The sequence below is a fragment of the Homo sapiens genome, chromosome 22 (assembly GCF_000001405.40).
Source record: "Homo sapiens chromosome 22, GRCh38.p14 Primary Assembly".
Lineage (NCBI taxonomy): Eukaryota > Metazoa > Chordata > Mammalia > Primates > Hominidae > Homo > Homo sapiens.
In genome coordinates this window covers 38,646,083-38,656,437 of record NC_000022.11, presented here as the reverse complement: position 1 = coordinate 38,656,437, position 10,355 = coordinate 38,646,083, and the positions used below count along the sequence as shown (strand labels likewise).

Below are 10,355 nucleotides of genomic sequence, written 5' to 3'. Positions count from 1 at the left end.
TCTGGGCCCCCGGCCCGGCTGTCACCATAGAAACGGCATCTCGCGGACAACGCGGCGGCTCACGAAGGTTCCATTGTTATGCTAAACGGGAAAGTGGAGACCGCGCCGGCGTTGCCTAGAGAACGCCTGGACTCAGAGTAGCAAAATGGGCCTCTCCCCAACTCCCCTCCTCATCCCCCAGCACAAGGCAAAGGGCACCCCTTGCTGTGAGTTTGGGGGCACCGGCTGTCGGGGGCCGACCCAGAACTTTGCGGGGTCCCCTGAGGGACCCGTGGCGGGACCGGCCCCGGGTTCGTCAAATTCCGCCGATGCTTTCAGGTAAGACGGACGGACAGACGCACCATGACCCACCTCTGGCAGCCTGCCCCCTCCCCGTGCCGTTATGGCGGCTTCTACAAGCAAGGGAAGCTGAGGCCCAGGGACTACTTAAAGGTTGCATTGTGAGGAAGGGACAGAGAACTACTGGAGAATCAACTCCAGATCTCCTAGAGTCCTAAAAGCGTGTGTTATTGGTTCCGTCTGATAAGTGCAGAAACTTAGGCCGTTCAAGGAGTTTACCGGCTGCCTAGTGGGTGTATCAGGGCATCCAGTGAGGGGCAGGACCCAGGGGTCTTTGACTCCAAGCGCAGTTCTCTTCCAACTACACCACCCTGCATTAAAAGAGGGGAGACTTCCATGTCCTAGAACTAAAATCTTCACAATCTGGCTTAGCATTGTGCAATAGAAACATAAAGCAGGCCACATATGTGATTTGGAATTTTCTAGTAGCCACATTTTTTAAAAAGTAAAAAAGAAAGCCAAGTGAAATTAATTTGAGTAATGTTTTAAACTCCATATGTCCAAAACATTACTATTTCAAGATATAATCAGTATTTCTAAATTTGCACTGCTTCCATTTAAAAATTTAATTTTTTTTTTTTTTAAGACAGAGTCTCACTCTGTTGCCCAGGCTGGGATTGCAGTGGCATGATCTCGGCCTCCCGGGTTCAAGCGATTCTGCTGTGTTCACCTCCCAAGTAGCTGGAATTACAGGCACCCACCACCATGCCCGGCTAATTTTTTGTATTTTTAGTAGAGATGGCGTTTCACCATGTTGGCCAGGCTGGTCTCGAACTCCTGACCTCAGGTGATCTGCTTGACTCGGCCTCCCAAAGTGCTGGTATTACAGGTGCGGGCCACTGCGCCTGGCCAAAATTTGAATTAATTAAAATTAAAATTTTACTCTTGGCTGTTCTATCTATGGAGTAGCCATTCTTTTATTGCTTTACTTTAAAAAAATTTTACTTTTTTTTTTTTTCGAGACAGAGTCTCGCTCTGTCGCCCAGGCTGGAGTGCAGTGGCATGATCTTGGCTCACTGCAACCTCCGACTCCTGGGTTCACGCCATTCTCCTGCCTCCGCCTCCCAAGTAGCTGGGACTACAGGCGCCCGCCACCATGCCAGGCTAATTTTTTTTTTGGTATTTATTTATTTATTTATTTATTTATTTTAGATGGAGTCTCGCACTGTCGCCTAGGCTGGAGTGTGCAGTGGTACAATCTCAGCTCACTGCAAGCTCCGCCTCCTGGGTTCATGCCATTGTCCTGCCTCAGCCTCTCGAATAGCTGGGATTACAGGCGCCCGCCACCAAGCCCAGCTAATTTTTTTTTTTTTTTTTTTTTTTGGTATTTTTAGTAGAGATGGGGTTTCACCATGTTAGCCAGGGTGGTCTCGATCTCCTGACCTCATGATCCGCCTGCCTCGGCCTCCCAAAGTGCTGGGATTACAGGCGTGAGCCACCGCGCCCAGCCTTTTGTTTATTTTTTTGAGACAGGGTCTCATTCTGTCACCCAGGCTGGAGTGCAGTGACATCATCCCCACCTCCCAAAGTATTGGGATTACAGGTATGAGCCACTGCATTCAGCCTTAAAATTTTACTTATTCAGTCACATTAACCAAATTCCAAGGACTTAATTGTCACATGTAGCTAGTGCTATTTTGATGGCCAGCACAGTCTGGGCACTTCCTACCTTTCCAGCCTCACTTCCCGCTGCTTGGATGGTACATTTTGGATGGCATATTATTTCCGCTCCCCATTTTTTCTTTTTTTTTGAGACCGAGTTTTGCTCTTGTTGCCCAGGCTGGAGTGCAGTGGCGCGATCCGGCTCACTGCAAGCTCCGCCTCCTGGGTTCAAGCAATTCTCCTGCCTCAGCCTCCAGAGTAGCTGGGACAACAGGCGCCTGCCATCACACCCGGCTAGTTTTTTGTATTTTTAGTGGAGACGGGGTTTCACCGTGTTAGCCAGGATGGTCTGGATCTCCTGACCTCGTCATCCGCCTGCCTCGGCCTCCTAAAGTGGTGGGATTACAGGTGTGAGCCACCGCGCCCGGCCCTGCTCCCCTTTATCTAATTAACTTGTGCTCCTCCTTTAGCACCTTGATCTCCTTGTATGGTCAAAACACACTATTATGTCATCTTACAGTGTTGTTCCCTTTGAAGTAGTGATGACAGTTATAACTCATAATTATGATTTACGTAATTGACTCATTGTCCTGTCTCCTCCAGTAGATGTAAGCCCCTTGAGGGCAGGGACCAAGTCTGGTTTAGTTCACTTTCCTGTCCCGAGTATGAGCATGCTGCTTGCTTATGGTAGGTACTCAGTAAATAATCATTTCATCCACAGTCCTCAACCTTTTTGGCTTCAGGAACCAGTTTCATGGAAGACAATTTTTACACAGACCTGGGATGGGGGGGATGGTTTTGGGATGATTCAAGAGCATTACAGGCCGGGTGCGGTGGCTCATGCCTGTAATCCCAGCACTTTGGGAGGCTGAGACAGGCAGATCACGAGGTCAGGAGTTTGAGACCAGCCTGACCAACATGGTGAAACCCCATCTCTACTAAAAATACAAAAATTAGCCAGGCATGGTGGCGTGCACCTGTAATCCCAGCTACTTGAGAGGCCGAGGCAGGAGAATCACTTGAACCCAGGAGGCGGAGTTTGCACTGAGCCAAGATTGTGCCATTGCATTCCAGCCTGGGCAACAAGAGTGAAACTCTGTCTCAAAAAAAAAAAAAAAAGCATTACATTCATTGTGCACTTTATTTCTACTGTTATTACATTGTAACATATAATAAAATAATTCTACAACTCACCATAATGTAGAATCAGTGGGAGCCCTGAGCTTGTTTTCCTGGAACTAGACAGTCTATCTGGGAGTGCTGAGAGACAGTGACAGATCATCAGGCATTAGATTCTCATAAGGAGCACACAACCTAGGTCTCTTGCATGCACAGTTCATAATAGGGTTTGCACTCCTATGAGAATCTAATGTTGAAGCTCATCTGACAGAAGGCAGAGCTCAGGCAGTCATGTGAGGAATGGGGAGTGGCTGTAAATACAGACAAGCTTCTCTCACTCACCTGCCACTCACTTCCTGCTGTGTGGCCTGGTTCCTAACAGGCCACAGACCTACACCCATCCATGGCCCTGGGGTTGGGGACCCCTGATTGTATGACTGAGGGTTATACTAAAAAGTCTGTCAGATGCTAAAGTCAGCATTTTTTTTTTTTTTTTTTTTTGAGATGGAGTCTTGCTCTGTCACCCAGGCTGGAGTGAAGTGGTGTGATCTCGGCTCACTGCAAGCCCCGCCTCCCAGGTTCACGCCATTCTCCTGCCTCAGCCTCCCTGGTAGCTGGGACTACAGGAGCCCGCCACCACGCCAGGCTAATTTTTAGTAGAGACGGAGTTTCACCATGTTAGCCAGAATGGTCTCGATCTCCTGACCTCGTGATCCACCTGCCTCGGCTTCCCAAAGTGCTGGGATTATAGGCGTAAGCCACCACGCCCGACCTTTTTTTTTTTTTTCTTGAGATGGAGTCTCGCTCTGTCGCCCAGGCTGGAGTGCAGTGGCGTGATCTCGGCTCACTGCAAGCTCCGCCTCCTGGGTTCACGCCATTCTCCTGCCTCTGTCTCCCAAGTAGCTGGGACTGTAGGTGCCCGCCACCATGCCCGGCTAATTTTTTGTATTTTTTAGTAGAAACGGGGTTTCACCATGTTAGCCAGATGGTCTCGATCTCCTGACCTCATGATCTGCCTGCCTCGGCCTCCCAAAGTGCTGGGATTACAGGTGTGAGCCACTGCGCCTGGCCTAAAGTCAGCGTTGTTTTTATATGCTCAAATATATTAACTTTTTTGTTATTTTAATTTTTCTTTTTTTCATATCGCCTCTTCTGAGAAGCATCAAATATGTTAACTTTATTTATTTATTTTGAGACAGGGTCTTACTCTGTCTTTCAGGCTGGAATGCAGTGGCATGATCTCAGCTCACTGCAACCTCCACCTCCCAGGTTCAAGCGATTCTCCTGCCTCAGCCTCCCTAGTAGCTGGGATTACAGGGGCCTGCCACCATGCCCAGCTAATTTTTGTATTTTAGTAGAGATGGCGTTTCACCACGTTGGCCAGGCTGGTCTCGAACTCTTGACCTCATGATTCGCCTGCCTCGGCCTCCCAAAGTGCTGGGATTACAGGCGTGACCCACCACGCCCAGCCCAAATATGTTAACTTTAAACAGGGCATTTGAATCTTGACTGCCAGAATGTGTGCTCCATGAGGGCAGAAGGTTTCTTACTCTTCCACTCTTCTGCCCTGCCCCCAGCACATCATATTGCTTGCCACAGGGTAGATATTTAAGGAAGCTAGTTTTCTTCCCTCTCCTTTTATCCTCCCCAAGTAATGGCAGTAAAAACTTACCATGTTTCAGAGAATACCTAAAATGGTATGAAATATTCAGAAGGGGCTGGGAGTGGTGGTTCACGCCTGTAATCCCAGCACTTTGAGAGGCCAAGGTGGGTGGATCACCTGAGGTCAGGAGTTCGAGACCAGCCTGGCCAAAATGGTGAAACCCCATCTCTACTAAAAATACAAAAATTAGGCAGTTGTGGGTGGCAGGTACCTGTAGTCGCAGCTACACGGGAGGCTTGAATCCAGGATGTCAAGGCTGCAGTGAGTGAGCCAAGATCGCGCCACTGCACTCCAGTCTGGACGACAGAGCAAGACGCTGTCTCAAAACAAACAAACAAACAAACAAAAAACCATGGTAAGTCTAAAAGGAATCACAGTTAATCCATAATTTGCCTAGTGGAGAAAGCAGTAGAAGCAAATCATTCCAGTTCACTATTGTGAGTCCTGTGATAGATGAATGCAGAACCTTGGGCTTTGCAGAGGAGGCATGGTGCTAATGGCTTGGAATTATTTGAGAAGGTTTCCACAGATATGTCACCTGGGCGTAGTCCAACAGAGGGAACCACATCTGGAAAGGCATAGAGGTAGGAAGAGCATTGTGTGGTCAGGGAGCAGGAAGAAGTTCTGCGGGTCTGGCATGTAAGATGCATGTCTGTGGAGAAGATGGAGCAAAGGCCTGAACCGGAGGAGAGGGAAGGAGAGTATGGTGAAAGGGCATTTGAGTTCATGTTCCCACCAAACTCAACGTTTTCTCTGTCCTTCCGTTATGTATGAGCTTCTAGAGGGCAGGATCTAAGTCTTTTGCTGTATTATAACGAGGCCTATCACACTAGACTCTGGACATAGAGGGCCCACAGATGGAAGTAATGGGTTCCTGGCCAACAAGCAAGGACCCAGGAGAGCTGTTAGACCAGAGTGTTGCAGAGCCAAGGAGGAAGAGTAGGGTTGGGGCCAGTTTTCTGAGAGGGAGCAGAAAGCTTCAGGTTGATCAGGAGCCTCGCGCTGAGGAGATGGACCCCTTATTCTAGAATCACAGCATCGGAAAGCTGGAGAGAGCCTTAGGGTCACCTAATCCAAATCTCTTTTAGAGTTGGGACTCAGAGAAGCAAAGAGATCTGATTTCATTTCTCGTTTGGGAACTGACTTGCTGAGTGGTCTGGAGTAGTCTGGAGCCCTGGCCTTTTCCGCATTCTAGTTTCCTTATTTTTAAAACTAGAACAATTTTCATCATGGGGGAGGGGCAGAGGGAGAGTCAGGCATCAGACATTGGAAGAACAAGTCCATATACCTTGAAATCCTCATTTAAGAATAGGCTTCTCAGACGGAACCCTTTCATTCCCCATGCAGGCATGGGACATGTGCTTTGCCATCAACCCTGTGTAGCTGGGGAACATGGTTGGGCTTTTCTTCTTGTGTTTTCTGAGCTGGCTCTATGCTGTTTATGATTTCCAGGAGGCTGATTAAACAAACGACAAGATTGGAGTGGGAAATGAGAGGCTCTTAAAAGTGGAAGCTTTTTGTTTGTCCATTTACAAGAAATTGGACAATGAATCACTTCAGGAAGATGGAGGTCATCAACCTCACCACCCTACCTATGATACCAGTGGATGAGCACCTGGCTGTCTCGCTTGTCGCACGGAATACAATGGTGAAGACTGTGAGGAAGGAGTTAGAGAACAATCCACCCTGTATCCTTCTGGTGATGTCACCTACAATCAGACCAAATACACCTAACTTGAGTCATGCCACAGAGATCTAATCAGTGCTCAGGTCTATAATGCACATTACTTATTAGCTTGTCCCTTATACATTCATTTTTTCTTTTCTTTTCTTTCTTTTTTTTTTTTGAGATGGAGTTTCACACTGTTACCCAGGCTGGAGTGCAGTGGCACAGTCCCAGCTCACTGCAACCTCTACCTCCCAGGTTCGAGCAGTTCTCCTGCCTCAGCCTCCTGAGTAGCTGAAATTACAGGTGCCTGCCACCACACCTGGCTAATATTTTATATTTTTAGTAGAGATGGGGTTTCACCATGTTGGCCAGGCTGGTCTTGAACCCCGGACCTCAAGTGATCCACCTGCCTCGGCCTCCCTAAGTGCTGGGATTACAGTCATGAGCCACCTCGCCCAGCCATATTCCTTTTTTTTTTTTGAGACAGAGTCTCACTCTGTTGCCCAGGCTGGAGTGCGGTGGTGCAGTCTCAGTTCACTGCAACCTCCACTTCCCAAGTTCAAGTGATTCTCCTGCCTCAGCCTCCCGAGTAGCTGGGATTACAGGCGCCTGTCACCATGTCCAGCTAATTTTTTGTATTTTTAGTAGAGATGGGGTTTCACCATGTTGGCCAGGCTGGTCTTGAACTCCTGACCTCAGGTGATCTGCCCGCCTTGACCTCCCAAAGTGCTGGGATTACAGGCATGAGCCACCGCATCTGGCCAGATACATTTTTTCAATTACTTAAACTCTACCCATCCTCTAAAAGAATTTGAGACTGTGAAGGACTGTTTGACTCCAGTATTTTTTACTAACATAATCAGAAAGAGCCCCAAAGGAAGAAGCTCTGGAAGTATTTGTGGAAAGAATGGGGAAGAATATTTTAAAAGCTAATTTTAAAAAGTGGTTGCCATCTTTCCCTTCTATCTCCCAAAGAATTATAGATGTTATTGATAGCAACTAAGAAATTGTGGTGCAACCCTCCACCCTCAGACAGATGAGCATGAAACCCAGCTTTTTCTTTTTTTTTTTTTTGAGACAGAGTCTCACTCTGTTGCTCAGGCTGGAGTGCAGTGGCATAGACTCGGCTCACTGCAACCTCTGCCTCCCAGGTTCAAGGGATTCTTCTGCCTCAGCCCCCAAGTAGCCGAGATTACAGGCACCCACCACCACGTCTGGCTAATTTTTGTATTTTTAGTAGAGACGGGGTTTCACCATGTTTGTCAGGCTGGTCTCGACCTCCTGACCTCAGGTGGTCCACCCACCTCAGCCTCCCAAAGTGCTGGGATTACAGGCGTGAGCCACCGCACCCAACCTTTAGCCCATTTTTAAATCAGGTTGTGTATTTTCTTACTGTCGAGTTTTTAAGAGTTCTTTAAATATTTTGTTTGTTTGTTTCTGAGACAGAGTCTCACTCTGTCGCCCGGGCTGGAGTGCAGTGGCATGATCTCGGCTCACTGCAACCTCCACCTCCCGGGTTCAAGCAGTTCTCCTGCCTCAGCCTCCCAGGTAGCTGGGATTACAGGCATGTGCCACCACGTCTGGCTAATTTTGTATTTTTAGAAGAGACAGGGTTTCTCCATGTTGGTCAGGTTGGTCTCGAACTCCTGACCTCAGGTGATCCGCCTGCCTCAGCCTCCCAAAGTGCTTGGGATTACAGGCATGAGCCACTGCACCCAGCCTTTTTTTTTTTTTTTTTTTAATCAAGTTGACCTTGCCTCTTCTCACCTGCCAGCCCTTCTCCCTGGCCCCAAATCTGCTCCTTCTGGCATCGTCCAGGCTCTACCAGCATCTTACTGCCCTGGCCCTGTCTTCGTTCATCCTCTTCTCACTTCTGACCCTGAGTTGTATTCCAGGGTCACAGAACTCCATCTCTGGAGGACCTTACAGCTCGTCCAGTAAATAACCCTCTCGGACTATAAATAACCCCAGGTCTTTCCATCTCCTGTGGAGCTCATTTACCTTCAAGCCATCCTGCCAGCTCAGCTGCATGTACCACTCTGCCCCCCTCACCTTCCTTGCCTCTCAGAAGCCCTTCTTAAGATGAGGCAAAGTGTGATCCCATCAGAATTTGCTTCAGGGTCTCACTTTGCAGGGCTGCTTTCTAATGTCCCCTCTTTCTTCTTAATCCCACACCTAAGAAGTCCATTTTACCTGCTGTGATTTGTCATGTCCCTTCTTGGTATCTTCCTTTTTCAAGTATCCTCCAATTTGTAAGAACACTTGAGGGTAATGAAAGTAAGAGTGAACCTTGCTTTATGTGAAGGGAGTGAGGGGTGATAGGATTATGGGGGTTTTACAAAGGATATATCCTAGATCAATTGAGGCTAAGACAGAAAGAAATATAAAAGCTGAGAGGGTAGGAAGAGGGGCCATAGAACTGAACAGATTTTAAGTGATAAACAAGGTTGAGATACCCTTTGACGCCGTCATCTGTCCCCTGAAAATCTCTCATAAAGAAATACTCTAAAATATGGAAACAGCTCTCTGTGACATCACACATGCATCACAGCATTATTTATTTTTCTTTTTTTTGTTGTTTCGTTGTTTTGTTTTTTTTTGTCACTCAGGCTGGAGTGCAGTGGCGCAATCTCAGCTCACTGCAACGTCCGCCTCCTGGGTTCAAGAGATTCTCCTGCCTCAGCGCTCAAGTAGCTGGGACTATAGGCGTCTGCCACCATGCCCTGCTAATTTTTGTATTTTTAGTAGAGACGGGATTTCACCATGTTGGCCAGGCTAGTCTCGAACTCCTGACCTCAAGTGATCCACCTGCCTCAGCCTCCCAAAGGGCTGAGATTACAGGCGTGAGCCACCGTGCCTGGCACACAGCATTGTTTTGTTTTATTTTATTTATTTTTGAGATGGAGTCTCGCACCATCGCACGGGCTGGAGTGCCGTGGCACGATCTTGGCTCACTGCAACTTCCACCTCCTGGTTCAAGCGATTCTCCTGCCTGAGCCTCCCAAGTAGCTGGGATTACAGGCACCCGCCACCACGCCCAGCTAATTTTTTGTATTTTTAGTAGAGACGGGGTTTCACTATGCTGGCCAGGCTGGTCTCAAACTCCTAACATCGTGATCTGCCCGCCTCAGCCTCCCAAAGTGCTGGGATTACAGGAGTGAGCCACCGTGCCCAGCCAGCATTATTTATAATTGCCAAAAAGTATAAATAACTTAAAATTTCAATATCCAAGGAACAGTTAAGTATATTAAGGTGTATCTTCTACATGGATTAGTATAATGTCATTTAAAATGATTATCATGAAGCTCCTTTAGCCAAAGGGAAAAATGCTCATAATAATGAATGGAAGAGTGGCCGGGCGAGTGAGACTCCATCTCAAAAAAAAAAATAATAATAATAATGACTGGAAGAGAAATCAGAGTAGTAAAACAGGCGTACACTCAGATTGTAAATACAGACAAAAATATGTATGTAAGAAATACTGGGCCGGGCGCGGTGGCTCACGCCTGTAATCCCAGCACTTTGGGAGGCCGAGGCGGGCGGATCACGAGGTCAGGAGATCGAGACCATCCCAGCTAAAACGGTGAAACCCCGTCTCTACTAAAAATACAAAAAAAAATTAGCCGGGCGTAGTGGCGGGCGCCTGTAGTCCCAGCTACTTGGGAGGCTGAGGCAGGAGAATGGCGTGAACCCGGGAGGCGGAGCTTGCAGTGAGCCGAGATCCCGCCACTGCACTCCAGCCTGGGCGACAGAGCGAGACTCCGTCTCAAAAAAAAAAAAAAAAAAAAAAAAAAAAAGAAATACTGGAAGGAAAATTCCCAAGTCCTAACAGAGTTGTTAGGGTGGTGGCATTATGGATGGCTCTTTTTCACTTTTTATATGTTCCAAGGTGTCTATAATATGGTCAACTCTCATTTATAATTTGCAAAGTATCTCATTTAAAACAAGATAAAGAAATATGGG

General features: G+C 47.6%; 1 protein-coding gene across 17 annotated transcripts in view; it reads left to right on the top strand.

Annotated features, from left to right (window-relative positions):
* Positions 46–10,355, top strand: part of FAM227A (family with sequence similarity 227 member A) — a 78,275-nt gene continuing 67,965 nt past the window's right edge. For 11 of the 17 annotated variants that reach the window (XR_937892.2, XR_937893.2, NM_001384271.1 and 8 more), the window contains exons 1-2: positions 46–318; positions 6,176–6,411. Coding sequence is in view for 8 of the 17 variants with exons in the window: in NM_001013647.2 (NP_001013669.1) it covers positions 6,270–6,411 (142 nt within the window). In the remaining 9 variants the exon portion in view is untranslated. The other 6 variants (XM_011530311.2, XM_011530308.4, XM_011530313.3 and 3 more) reach the window with 6 other exon arrangements.